Below are 15,153 nucleotides of genomic sequence, written 5' to 3'. Positions count from 1 at the left end.
TCAAATGTTCAACATCTTCTTCAGGCTGAGCAGCAGTGGAATTGCTTGATGAGTTAATTGTTCTTTTATAACTTTAACTTCCATAGTAATCTTCAGTCTCTTAAAAAAATTTAGCTTCATCAATGTAACACGACCACTTCTATAAAACATCTGCTTATCGAAGTGTACTTATTTTAAAGCAAATAAATGTATGGTAACTTTACATTATTTTCTGAGAAAATTTGGCATATACTTCCTCAAGTCTCAAATTCCAGGGTGCCTGCCATCGGGCAGTTCCCAGAGAAGTAGTTGCTGGAGACGCAAAGTCTAGGGCTCTGCCCTTGGTGCCATGATTTTTCTAGCTGGTTGGTTGGAACTATCTGTAGCTCCTAGCCAGGTCTGTTGCAAGACTAGCCAACATTAGCATCTGACGAGGCAGCAGCACTTCCTTTCTATTCTGTGGAGGTTTTTTTGGTTTTGTTTTGTCATTTCTTAAAGAGCCACTATAGCTTTACTGAAAAGCCTCCTAATAGATGGCTAGAAAATCCAGCAGGTTCTGGGATTAGAATTTATTTTAGCTTTTTTCTTACCAAAAGTTTTCCATTGGGACCACTAGGGAATGTTTTCTATTAGAACAAATCTGAAGTATTAGGTCTAAAGGAAAAAGCATGATTAAATGGTAATATTTCATTTGACAAATTTTTTAAATCAAGCATTTTTCAGAAATCAAAAAGCATATCTTTACTTACTATGATTGATATTAAAGGCTAGTTCATTTTGTGTTGCAGAAAGAACAAAGACATGCCACAAGAGTGGTCAGTTCTTCCACTAGGGGCCCAGGGTACTGTAAAAGGGAAGACAGGGTTGGAAGACACCAGAAGGGCCAGACAGGGAGAGATTGCTGGCCTTATGGAGTTAACCGAACAGAGTTCATACGAAGATGAGTAAGAAGCAGAGCCTCTGCTGCATTTTGTGACTCCACAGGGACAAAGAGTAAGGAGACCAGAGTGGAAAAAAAAAGTGAGGGAAAGGAAAAAGGACATTACAGAGAACATGATAAGGCTGAGTATAGGAATCTGGGATGAAATGAAAATAATTCTAAGGGATAGGAGGGAACTACAAAAAAGGGCAAAAGCACAGAAAAGGTAAGTGGTCACCTGATGCAGTCAAGTGCATATATTTCATATATGTATGTTCAGTCTAAAACTGGGAAACCAACCAATGCCCAACCAACTAGTCAGCCAACCACACACATTTCTAGTAATAATTTTTTTTTTTTTGACACGGTCTTGCTCTGTCACCCAGGCTGGAGTGTTGTGGTGCAATCTTGGCTCACTGCAACCTCTGCCTCCCAGGTTCAAGTGATTCTCTTGCCTCAGCCTCCTGAGTAGCTAGGATTACAGGCATGGGCCACCACGCCTGGATAAGTTTTATATTTTTAGTAGAGACGGGGTTTCACCATGTTGGCCAGGCTGGTCTCGAACTCCTGACCTCAAGTGATCTGCTTGCCTCAGCCTCCCAAAGTGCTGGAATTACAGGTGTGAGCCACTGCGCTCAGCCTCTATAATAATTTAGAATACACTAATTTATTCATAAGTCCAAATTAATGTGACATATTTATATCATGCTTTTTTTGTAATAAGAATCTAGGAATACAAGTTAGACCACCTTAGAAAAATGTAAATTATTACTTACCAACAAGTTATACTACAGTGGCAGTTTAAGACACTTTTCAGTAATGTCGTCTTAGAGAAATGTGTGCACCAAGCTATGTGTGAAAGAATATGCACAGCTACACTGCTCATTAAAGCTTCAAACAAGAGACAACCCATATGTCCATCAACAGTAGGCTGGATAAACTGTGGTACAGTCATAAAGTGGAATGTTATATAGAAACAAAAATCAACAATTACAACTATTTGCAATAACATGAATGACTATGTTCAAAGCAAGATACAAAAACACTTCTGAATCCTTGTGACTATATACAGAATGATCGTACTGTTTATAAAGTTTAAAAACAGGTGAAACCACACTGTATTATTTAGTGATGCACACATAAAGGGCTGAAATCATTAGCAAAAAGGCAGGAAATGACCAGGCGAGGTGGCTCATGCCTGTAATCCTAGCTCTTTGGGAGGCCAAGGTGGGCAGATCACTTGAGGGCAGGAGTTTAAGACCAGCCTGGCCAACATGGTGAAACCCTGTCTCTACTAAAAATACAAAATTAGCCAGGCATGGTGGCAAGGTGCCTGTAATCCTAGCTATTCCAGAGGCTGAGGCAAGAAAATCGCTTGAACTCAGGAGGCAGAGGTTGCAGTGAGCCGAGATTGCGTCACTGTACTCCAGCCCGGGCAACTCCATCTCAAAAAGAAAAAAAAAAAAGCAAACTAGGAAGTGGTTATCATGAAAGTCAGGAAAGTGATTGCATGGTGTTTGTGATCTGATGGGGCACACTGCGGGCTGGGTGGGTGCTTCTAGGGTCTTGGCGATATTCTATTTCTTGACCTGGGTAGACATTATACAGATTTTACTTTGTGCTTATTTGTTAAACTGAAAATTTGTTTAACAAATTTTAAATTTATTTTAAAATTATTTTAAACAAATAATAAAAATTTTCTTATGTTGTATTTCACAATAAAAATATTTTCTTAATGTGGCTTTTGAGGTACCACTAACCCACATATATCAAGGCATGTTTCTACAAACAATGTTATTTTTGGTGGCTAGGCAACACTTCTCGAACGTTTCCCATCACTTTTCAGCAAGATGGGTACCACGTTTGAAAATTTTTATTGTGAAAACACGCACTTCTTTTTCTACTGCTTTATTTGCCAATTCAATAAATATTTATTCAACCACTTATAGTATTTCTCATGCTTGAGGGACTAAGATATGAAGATGAATTTAGGCTAGATTCTGACTTCTGGATTTCATAATCCAATCAAGTGGATAGTAGTCACCTCTCTATGGAAAACATATAATAAAAGTGCTTCAAAAATTTTGAAGAGGGACTACATTTTGAGGGGAGGGAAATAGGTTTATGGAGATGGCATAAGAGATGGCATTAGAAATGGATTTTGGAGAATTGGGAAGATTATGACAAGGTAAGTGGGGAGACAGAGCATTTTAGGTGAAGGAGATTTCATGGCAAGACTCTGAGTAGGAATCAAAAGACTTACTCAAAATTAAAGAGTAATCAACTGGATGGGGGAGGGCTGCATAAAGATTAATAGAAAGAGGTAAAACTGGACAGCAATTTTTGGGTCCAGAGCAGAAAGGACTTGACTATCACATTTAAAAGTTTGGACTTGATTCATTGGCAATGGGGAATCCACTGAAAGTGTTTAGGAGGTTTTAGGAAAATGAACCTCACAGTTTGTGTGCAGAATGATGGAAGTTAGAAATAGACAATCAGGTAATTGTAGGAGCTCAGGACAGAGGTGACAAAAGCAATAGGGATAAAAGTAAAGGTACTATAACTGAGCTACTGTGGAGACAAAATCTGTAGTTTTCAGTGCGTTGGATGCTTGGGAGTAGCAGGGTTAAATGGCGAGATGAGAGGTAGGAAGAAATCAAAGATCATAGGTTTGATAAGGCTGCCTGGGAGAATATTGATACTCTGACTAGAAATACAGATATTAGGAAGAGTTACTGTTGTGTGTATAAGGGTGAGTGAAAATATAATGCATTTAATTTTAGAAATACTAAATTTGAAGACCATGGAATAGACAGGAAGGATATCCAGCAAACATTTTGAAATATTTAAATATAGATATTTATATTTACATATAAATTATACATATTTTCAAAGGGTTAAATAGACTTTAACCCTTTGAAAATATTTGTAATCGAATCCTTTCAAAAACCCTGTGATATTCCCATATTTAGTTATGTAAAAACTCCTAGGATTTGAGCCAGACTTGAACATATTAATAGATCTGCAAATGCCAAATCCATGGCTGTCCCCATTGTTTCTTGTTGGCTCCTGTAAATGTCTGTTTGTAACTAGGGAGAGTTCTGAACTGTTAGATGTAGATTAGGTCAGTTACATACAAGTGTTGGGAAGTATTGGGGAACAGAAGGAAGAGGACTAAGGAGAGATTACTAGGGAATTTCTCTCTTTAGGGGATGGGATAAGGAACAAAACTTACAGAGGGAAGAGTTAGATGGAGGGCAACTAGGACACAGCGGCTGGAAATCAAGGGAAGAACATTCTAAGAGGAAAGGGCTTGTCAGCACTGCCAAAGGCTGCCAAGAGGTTGGGGACTCTGAAGGCAGAGGAGACTCCTGTTAGCTCGATGAGGAGGATGTCCATGAAGATCTTTGTAAAAGGGATTTCAATAGAGTGGAAGCAGCAGTTTTCAGGGTAAGAAGTGACTGCAGGAAGTGGAACCTACTTCCAGGAGTTTCATGGAGAAGGAAAAATGAAGATTAGGATGGCAGCTAGAAAGAGTAGCTAGGTGAGGAGCGGTAGGAAGGGGTGGGATGGAGAATGGGTGAAGCCAGCAAGGAGGATGAATGAAGTAATGTCCTAGTAGAGGGATGACAGGGAGGGTGCTGTGTTATAGTCTCAACGTCTGTGTCTTCCTAAAACTCACACGCAGAAACCTAATTTCCAAGGTGATGGTATTAGGAGATGGGGCATTTAGGAAGCAATTAGGTCATGAGGGCTGTGCTCTCATGAATGGGATTAATGCCCTTGTAAAAGAGTCCAGGAAGCTCGCTAGCCCCTTCTGCCACGTGAGGACACAGTTAGAAGGTGCTATGAGGAACAGGCCCTCACTGACACCAAACTGCCAGTGCCTTGATCTTAGACTTCCCAGCCTCCAAAACTAAATTTCTGTTGTTTATAAGCCCCCCTCCCCCACCCGCCCCAGTTTATGGTACTTTTGCTACAACACGCCAAACAGTCTAAGACATACTACTTTCTGAGAAAAGTGAAAGAAATAGTGTGGAGATTTCAAAGGTATTTTTCAGGTAGAAGGCATGACTGGCAGAGATCAACTCAAATGGCTATGCACTGGGGCCATAAGCTTAAGCATCTTACTATAAATATATTCTCTCTGGGTTTTTTCAAGTACATATCATCCACCCTCCGAAAAACACCTGTGAGGACTGCCCTCTTGCTCTCTCTTTTAATGGGTAGAGGGTTAGCTACTTTTGAATAGTAGCTCATATTCTTGTTGGCTGATGAGTACAAAGCTTGGCACTGACATACTAACATTAGAATCATGCTTTCAAAACACCAAAAATTCCTCGATGGTATTGACTTTCTTTAAAAATATCACTGGAATTGTCAAATTTACCACTGCAGTATTATTTGAATGAAAACGATTAGGTTGAACTGTATAAAATGGTCCATACTTGAGCACTTTTTATACCAAAAAAACAGCAGTTTCAAATAATGCTACCTTATACAAAACCTACCTCAGGAATAGCCAACATAACAAGCAGCTTCTTTCTCTTTTCACATTCAAAAACCCTATATGCTTGGAGGCTGAGATAGCTTCCATCCATACTAAGTGGAATCTTTTTTATTTTTCATGAATGCAAACTCAGTAAGACAGACAATAGCCCTTCCCCCAAACCCTGCCATATTAATGGCCATTATTTGTAGGGCAGCTAGTTTGGGTGGGGGAAATAGATCAAGCAGACAAAGCTAACTGCTAAATCCGAGAACTCATTTACCCATGACATTAATCTCATATGGCACCATTTTCTATCAGGATTGTTCAGTCCTTATATTTACTAAAAAAAAATTGGGACAAAGTGTAAATTTGCTAACCAATGTAATTGATCAATAGATCGTTATTTAAATAATTTATTTCAATTCCCCTCTATATTTGTAAGGACAAACAGCAGACTTCTAAAGCTTTTTCCAGTAACTTCCTGATTTATGTATTCTTCACATAAAAACTGTGCTTCTACACAAAATTAGTGCTTCAGATGAGTCAGAATTTAGAAGAAGTAAATGTATAACCCAGTTTAGGTAATTGTTTAAATGGGTTAAGGAAAAGCTTCCAGCTTCCCCTTTTTGAGCCTTGATTACTACTTTCCTTCCCCCAGGGCTTCTAGCCTGCTTACCAAAAAAAGAGACAGAATTTGCAATTCTATGAATTATTGCACAATGTAAACCCAGTTTCCTCCTATATACATAGCAAACATAGAATTCAAATACACAAAGCACATACACTTGAGAATCACACTCAGACAACTTAACCAAACAACAAAAACACACCAGCCCCCAAAGGATCCCACCAGTGCACCTATCCATCAACACCCGCCAAGCCAGTCTGGCAGGCATCCGTCACCCAGCAAGTGGTCCCAGTAACTTCCCCTGCAGGCCCTAGGTCTGACTCTTAACCTCACACTATCATATGTACCTAGAGACATGAGCACAATTCAACTCAATCAATGTTTATTAAGCAACCTCTTTGTGCTGAATGCTGTATTCTTTTCTTTTAATTCTTCAGCCATAGTCCTGGTCACACCAAATGCAGCTTGGTTTAGTTCCCCAATCATCCCAGCCATTCGGGTCCCTGCACTGGCTCCATCCAGTCTCTCTAAAGCAAGAGTTTTGTTTGTTTGTTTGTTTTTTTAGATGGAATCTCACTCTGTCACCCAGGCTGGAGTGCAGTGGCTCAATCTTGGCTCACTGCAACCTCCACCTCCCAGGTTCAAGCGATTCTCCCACCTCAGCCTCCCAAGTAGCTAGGGCCACAGGTATGTGCCACCATGCCCAGCTATAAAGCAAGAGTTCTTAACTGGGTCCACATGTAGGATTAAAGGGTCCATAAACTAGGGTGAAAAATAATCTTACATCTTTATTTTCATTTTTGCCTCTAATGGAAATTTAGTATTTTCTTCAGTTATGTATGTAGACAACCACAGATATCTTCATATCACATTACAACTACTTAAGATATATTGAAATGTTATTTATACTCATCATTACTTTGAAGTTTGGTGGTTAAAAGACCTACCTGTAGATTTTGTTATGTAATGCATAAATAAGAAGCAAATAAATTACTGCATTATAATTTATTTAAAATATTTTGATACCTGTATTTCAATGTGACTGATTTCCTCTGTAATTCTATGCATTTTATTTTATGCATTTTAAACATTATTCTGAGATGGAGTCTATTCTCTTTACCAGATGTTAATGAAAACTGTAGCATAAAAAGTACCTGCTATCTGGTTTGAAACTATTCCATTACCTGCTCAACTCATCTGACTCTCCCTTCTACCTCCAAATTTTCTCTTCTTCCATCCTATTCAAACATAGATAAATGCCCCTAGATCAGGCAAGCCCCTCTGCATGGCCCTCAGTAGAGCCAAGTGAATCTTCCTGTTCATTTCTCAGTCTCTCAGTAGTCAATTTCCACTTCCACTCGCAGGTGAAATCTAGAACCTTCTTTTAGCATAGTCTAAAACTACTAAGTACTTTCATAACCTTTCTTTCCATCCAGTCATATCTGCAAGGCATAGTTATCCCATCAAGCCTTAATATCAGGCAAACCTTAAGGTCTCCTCTCAGTTTGGGACACAAAGCTTTTTTACTGTCTCTTGGGATGATCGGCCCAGGAAGATGAGTAAAGCCAGGGCCAAGCAAAACTGACAGATCTGGCAACACACACAAATGTTAAAACCAATGGAATCTTGTGCATGGGACTCAACCAAGCATTGTGACTCCCTGGAACTCAAGGATGTCTAGGTAAGCCAAGAACTGTCATTAGTAAGTCAAAAATTATTGCTAACATCAGAAATATATGGCATAGTTGTTCCTGTAGAGACCAAATTGTCCTGTTCCATCACTCAGCACCCTGAGTTGATGAACTCCTGTGACAAGAGAAACATAAAGGATTATGAAACTTACTCAGAAGGAGAAAGAAAGATGCCACATATGAGATGCCTGCCATTTGGGCCAGCACAGTCCTTTTTCGTCCCAATAGTGTCACTAACATTCAGAGGTTGAGTGACAAATGCTGTGCTCTCACTGCAAAGTAAAGAGGAAGCAAAAGTGTGGTTTTCAGCCCACTGAGAAATAGAGATGTCTTGTGAAAAGCAAAACTGGTTACATTATGTAGCTCTTTACTAATCACTCAAATTTGGGAGTAAAAAAGTTATCTTTGTGGTTAAGTAAACAGATATCGATAAAACTAAGAAAAGATGGGTCTCAACCTGGCTCACAGTATGTGTCATTTGGTAATGATGAGAGAATTTAGGTAAACTGAATAAATAAAAAAGGCACCAGCAATGTTGTCTTCTTGGCCCTTCCTTCTCCTCCTCTCTTGAGAGAGGAAATGACTGAGAAATGGGAGAAGGCCCCTGAAAAACATGAACTTGGGGCGACATGAGGTGGTGCTGAAGGTTACAGGCTCTAGAGTCAGGCTGCCTGGGTTTGCATGCAGATTCTAGTTTTAGTAACTGTGCAATCTTAGAAAACTTAATTAACTTTTCCTAACCCTCATTGCTAAAATGAGGATACTAATAGTAGGTACCCTGTAAGATTACTGTGAATGCCAAATGAGCTAATTTTTTAATTATTTTTTTATTTCTTTTTTTTTGTATTTTACTTTTTTTTATTATTATTATACTTTAAGTTCTAGGGTACATGTGCACAACGTGCAAATTTGTTACATATGTATACATGTGCCATGTTGGTGTGCTGCACCCATTAACTCGTCATTTACATTAGGTATATCTCCTAATGCTTTCCCTCCCCCTTCCCCCGACCCTATGACAGGCCCCGGTGTGTGATGTTCCCCTTCCTGTGTCCAAGTGTTCTCACTGTTCAATTCCCACCTATGAGTGAGAACATGCAGTGTTTGGTTTTTTGTTCTTGAGATAGTTTGCTGAGAATGATAGTTTCAAGCTAATTTATTTAAAGCACTTAGAACAATATCTGGTACATAGTAACTGCTCAATGAATATTAGCTACCATCATCACCATCATGAGACATTTAAGTAAATCTTCATCTGCCCTGTGAAACTGCCTTTGCAAAAATTGTAACAGTGAGAAAGTTATGACAGTGAAAGGGATCTGACCTCACCATCTCCATCTTGCTTCTAACTTCCAAGCTGCCCTTGTTAATTCCTGGTTGTAGGCCAAACTAACTTTGGGAGGAATTTAGCTTAGTTTAATTTTGAAACAAAGAGGATAACAGCCCTTTCTGGAAACAAACCCCCTTCTTGCCTGGGGAGCAGACTTCCCTAGTAAGACTAACAAATTAGCCACAACATTAGAAATTATGGTTTAGGAGTCATGCAGCCAGAGGCCACACAATTCCAACCTCCCCAACTGTTCCTAGGGATAACATCACTATTGTAAAACCTAAATTGGTGCTCAAGGTATTTTTCAGACCCTGCATCCTGATGCACCAGCTGACACCATCCAGGCTGGTGATCTGGTTCCACCAGTTCTTTGATCCCACTTAGGAACGGAAGACTGCAAGAACCCCCTTTGATCCCCTGTGATTTCATCTCCTACCTGACCAATCAGCACTCCCCACTCCCTGGCCTGCCAAATTATCCTTACTAACTCCAGTCTCTGAATTTCCGGGGAGACTGATTTGAGTAATAAAACTCTGGTTTCCCATTTAGCTGGTTCTGTGTGAATTAAACTCTTTCTCTATTGCAATTCTCCTGTCTTGATAAGTCTGTTCTATCTGGGCAGCAGGCAAGGAGAAACCTGTTGGGCAGTTACGCTAATGGGCAGTTACACCGATGTGAACCCAGGTATCAAGGATGGCAGAGGAGTATCTAAATGCAACAGTTGGCCCTGAACCTAGACTAATACTACGCTAGTGCTAGAGTTCTCAGGAAGCTTCCACTTAAATCAGATAATCACAATGCAATGTGTCAACAATCAGTGGGGCACCTATAGGGGGTGGGGAAAATTGGTAGGCAGGAGGGAAGGTCAAGATGGATTGGGCTGGGCCAGGTGAGTCAATGAGTCATCTAGAGAGGCAGGGGGCCAAGGTACAGTTGGGGAAAAACCGTGTGGCATGAATAGTAACACACAGGCTGTACTATCTTGTTGGAATGAAGTTTGAGGTTGTTGTGAAAGAAGGATCTATACAGGTAGGATGGGCAGATCTTAGTGGGCTTCGTGTGCCAAGCCTAAGAGCTTGGCTTTTATTAATACCTCAAAGAAGAGGGAAGCTATGAAGATTTTTAGTGGTAGTATAGCCTGGTTGGATTTTCCGTTTTTCCTTTTAAGTTGAATTCTGTATGTGTGCATTGCTAACAGGTTGAAAGGTGAAGAAGGGAGACAAGGCTAGAAGCAAGAAGGTCAGTTACAAGGTTTTTGTAGTTGTCTCTATGAGCAATAATAAGGGCCTGAAGTAGGGCATTTAAAATAAAGACAGAGGCCGGGCGCAGTGGCTCATGCCTGTAATCCCAGCACTTTAGGTGGCAGAAGCGGGCGGATCACGAGGTCAGGAGATCGAGACCATCCTGGCTAACATGGTGAAGCCCCGTCTCTACTAAAAATACAAAAAAATAGCTGGGTGTGGTGGTGGGCGCCTGTAGTCCCAGCTACTGGGGAGGCTGAGGCAAGAGAATGGCATGAAGCCAGGAGGCGGAGCTTGCAGTGAGCCAAGATCACGCCACTGCACTCCAGCCTGGGCGACAGGGCGAGACTCCATCTCAAAATAAATAAATAAATAAAGACAGAGGTGGGATAGATAAAATAATCAAATAGTTACGGAATACTCCCTGTGCAGTAAGCACCCTACCATGTGCTGGACATCCATTAAGGACATAATTAAGCTGCAGCCTTTGATCTGAAGGAGCTGCTGCTTGTGCCATGTGGCATGGTGGAGGTGAGCAGGTAAGAACTTGACTGTCACATAGGGATATCAGAGAAGGAAGAGGGCATGTCTAATCTGGAGAGAATGAATGGGAGGTCAGTAAAATCTTCAGGGGAAAGGTGGCATTTTAAAGTAAAATTTATTTTCCTAGTGAGAATTATAGTAGAATGGGGTACATTCTACAAATTCAGGTCTGGAGGCATCTAACTTTATCTATCTATCTATCCATCCATACATCCATCCATCCCTCCATTCACTCATCCATTCTTCTGGTTTTATTCATTAGCAATGATACCTATTAGCCCTCCAGTGATGGTCAAACTACAAATATTGAAGTCTTAAGTGAAAGGCCCTGTACTTCCCTTTTCAAGATACTATGCAAGGCTTGGGGGATAAAAGAGGTGTAAGAGGGCCCTGCCCTCCAGGAACTTGGGGTCTAGTTTAATAAACAGCTGAGATAAAAAAAAAAAAAAAAACAGCAGCCATATACGGCAAACATGGGTCTGGTATCCGATCTATAGCTCAGGCAAGAAATAACCTGAATTAATAGGCTGAAAAGGCAGGGAACAGTCGCAGTAAGTCATTCAGAAGAGCCTGGTTTTAAAATTGGTCCTTGGACATCTAGTATGATGCAAATGGGCAGGAAGGAGAAGGACATTTCAGTGTGGACAAATACAATGTACAGAGGCAGAGGCAGAGTCAGGGATGTGCAGATTGTATTTTGGGAACAATTAAAGGGCAGTCTGCCTAGGATGGAGATTTCGAACAAACTCTCCAGGCTACTAACTATAAAATCAGTGAGGCTCAAGTTACAGGAATTTATTCACCATTTTAGTTGCAGAAGTTGGGGGTCACCCCCAGGCACCAACACTTTAAGCAAATGTGGTGAATGGAGTAGTTACTGCTGTGTAACAATCAGAAAACTTTGGTGGCTTGCAACAGCAAACATTTATTTCTGTTGACAAGCCTATGGGTCAGCTGGGTGGCTCTGTTAATGGGGCTGTGTCCTGCTGACAGGAGCTGGATGGTCTAGGATGGCCTTGGCTGGGATGACTCAGTTCTCTTCCACATGTCTCTCACATCTCTCTGGCAGGCTGGACTGGCACATTTTCATGGTAATGTCAGGGGTCCAAAAGAACTAGTGGAAACACAACAGCATTTTTTAAAGCTTCTACTTACATCATGACCACTACCATCCCATGGGCCAAAGCAAGCCACATGAAAGTCCAAAGGCAAGAGATGGGTTAATATATACTCTGCCTCTTTATGGAGGGGAACTACAAAGTGATAGAGCAAAGGGAGAGATTAACACAAACAAACTGAGGCCATCAATGCAATCAATCTGCCATGTGCACTGAAAAGAGAATTATTTTAGAAATAAGCATTGACCACAGAGACAATCATTGCCAATAATAGAGAGTATCCTGTATCCACAGAATATATATAACCCAGTAAATGCTATGCAATTTCTCATTCCTGGCTGTTGCCAAAATATTTTTTCTCTTTCCATTTCAGTGGCTTCATTTCTGCCAGAATTTAACATTGACAGGGTGATGTTGCCTCTTTTCTGGGGGGAAAAAGAAGCTCTCTGTTGTCAAGAAAAAAAAAAAAAAAGGAAGAAGAAAAGAAAAAATAGAGCCAGCAAGACAGACAGTTATTCTTTTACCTTGGGAATTGTTGCATTGCAATTGTATCATTTGAAAGGAATGTAAAAATGTAGTTCCTGATTCAGATGGGGGGAGAGAGTACTGGACAAAGAAACCAGGAAGGTACTAAAGGAAAAATTCTGTTCTAGTTCCTGGAAGATTAATAAAAAGTTCTTTTTTTCAGGTTGATATGCGCCAATATTAGTTCCACAGAACCATAGAAATTGCAGGTATTATGTCCTCTGATCATAAGCACTCAGGCCCAAGAAATATTTAAATAGGGACCTTTTACATATCAGGCTCTGTGCAAGGCACTTTACATATACAGTCTTATAGAATACCTCATATCACTATGTGGTAGGTATTACTAATCCCATTCTACAAATGAGAAAACAGACTCAGAGTATATCAATATCATGGCTAGAAAATGGCGGGATTCTAAGGCTGCCTTCTCACTTTTGGTTCAGAGCTCTTTCTAACAAACCTTCTAGCTAGCTACTCATGATTTACAGGAGGCAGAATGTACGATAGTGAATGGCTGGAGGAGGGGGAAAAAACCCTAAGGGGTCAGCAGGAGGCTGATCATTATTTCACCCCTTATCCCACTTGAGCTCTTTGAACTCAGGTCAAATTGATTACCGTTCCACAGGGCCTGGACTTGCCCATGTGAGGGAGACCCTGAAGTTGAGCTTCACCTCTGCATGTGTATAACACCAAGCAGTCACACTACAAGAAGGGACCATAGTGATCTCAGTCAACTCCCTCATATAACAAAGGAAGAAACTGAGGCCTTGCATAGGCCCAGCTGGGACTTGGCCCCAGTGATGGAGGATGAAGTCCAGGTCCCAACTCCCCGGCCTCTTTGCTCTTCCTTCCCACTGGCCCAGCTTCACCAGGAGCTGATGAGTTAACCAATCCTGAAGAAGTTTTCAAGGTGGGTGACAACTCTTCCTACCTGTGAGGAAAGCATGAACTAGGTTTCTATGGAGGAGGCAAAGAAGCATGGGGTGCAAAATAGGGCGAGTTTAGCTTCCTGACAAAAGAGGAGAAAGAGAAACAGATGGGATCCTAGGCCATCTCCTGTTTTCTAAGTGAATACTTCCTTGGGAAGGGCTATTCCTTAAATTTCCTGCGGAGGGTCAGTTGACAACAAGCTATAAAGATTAAAAAAAGTTTAGGGGAGGGGATCAGAATAGGCCTTAAAGAGAGGCAGAAAGGAGGAGAGGAGACAGGAAGCTCCCTTTACCTAGACCCTAGATCCCTCTTATCCCCTTGGGGCCAGACACCCATCCATTGCTTACTCAGTCCATAAAGAAGCTCAAGTGTCTCCTATCCTACTAAATAGCCAATTTTTACTCTAGTTCCAAATCACCTCCTTTTCTCTCCCATCTTCAAACTTCTGACAGTTTCCTGGTGTTCTGCGTTCTGTTTGATTTCCTAATTCTCACTGCCACTTTGGCCCACTGAAATCTGGGCATGGGTCCACACAGACTTCCTGGGCCACAAAAGTGAACACTGCTCACTTGACCTGGTCTTTCTGTGGCATCAGGTGTGGCTGGCCATTGGCAAACTTGCTTGCAATTCTTTCCTTCCTCCTCCGACACCACTCTCTCCAGGATTTTCCCTTACCCCTTTGGAAGTTCTTTCTCAGTCTGCTTCTCACTGGTTTCTCTTCTCCAGGCCACTTGAAATTATTATCTTCTCCAAGGTTCTGTCTTCAGCCCTTCTTTTCTCACCCCGCTGCATCTCATTCCCCATCTCTATATTGACAATCTCAAATAGATCTCCAACCCCAAGTTCTCCCTTAAGCTCCAGACCATCTAGCTGGTGTTGAGTATCTCCACTTGAAGGTTCCTCAGGAAACTCAAACTCGAGTCTAAAGCTGAAATCATTGTTTTCTGTTTTCACTGGTATTGTCCATTATGGTTGAATGCACCAGTATCAACCCAGACCCATGGCTGGCCTCCATGCTTCACATCCACTTATGAAATCCTATCAGTTCTCCTTAAAATCTTTTATGAATTAATTCTACCCGTTGCCATCACAACTGAGAGCTTTGAGTTTTCATCTGGACTAATGCAGCCCCTTTGGTCTTCCAGCTTTGTCTCTCCCTGCTACTCGGCTGACAGAGTGATCTAAAATACAAACACAGCCATTAACTTTCCAAATTTTTCTTTCAGTGGCTCCAAAACATTTCTAGAGGATCAGGTCCAAACTTCTTGACGTGATCTCTGTGAGCTGACCCTGGGGAACACTCTCACCACCCTATCCTTTAACTTTCAACCTTCAGGAATACAGAATCACTTATATTTCTCTGAATGTACCTTACCATTGTTTCTTTCTTTTGCAAATGCTATCCCCTTTGCTTAGAATCTTGTCCCATTACTACCTGGTAAATGCCCATTCATGTAAAAATTTTAAAATTGGGGTTTGCATCTCCTATGTGAAAACTTTCTTAACATTTTGGATAGAAATCCAAAGAAAGGTTTATACTATGTCAGTGAATTTCTGTAAGTTTACTTATTATATAGTAACAAAATGAATTATTTATACACTTCCCTATCTTGTAAGACCATGAATTTCCTAAAAGAAGGGGCTAGTTCTTACTCATCTTTCTATGTATGCAACAAATACTTAACAAATGCCTGGCATATTCAGGCACTGAGACTGGTGTAATGATTTAGAACGTGCATAGACTGTGGAGTCAG

The 15,153-nt window shown here is 40.9% G+C and overlaps 1 protein-coding gene across 6 annotated transcripts in view; it reads right to left on the bottom strand.

The window, feature by feature from the left end:
* The window catches only part of CD101 (CD101 molecule), a 34,793-nt gene extending 26,831 nt beyond the window's left edge, over positions 1–7,962 (bottom strand). For all 6 annotated transcript variants that reach the window (XM_047434715.1, NM_004258.6, NM_001256106.3 and 3 more), the window contains exon 1: positions 7,862–7,962. In XM_047434715.1, the coding sequence (XP_047290671.1) occupies positions 7,862–7,949 (88 nt within the window). In that variant the 5' untranslated portion in view covers positions 7,950–7,962. The remainder of the gene's footprint in view (positions 1–7,861) is intronic.
* Between the last annotated feature and the right edge of the window lie 7,191 nt (positions 7,963–15,153).

This window comes from Homo sapiens, chromosome 1, assembly GCF_000001405.40.
Source record: "Homo sapiens chromosome 1, GRCh38.p14 Primary Assembly".
In the NCBI taxonomy this organism is placed as follows: domain Eukaryota; kingdom Metazoa; phylum Chordata; class Mammalia; order Primates; family Hominidae; genus Homo; species Homo sapiens.
The sequence above is the reverse complement of the archived record's forward strand: the minus strand, read 5'-3'. Positions and strand labels throughout refer to the sequence as shown.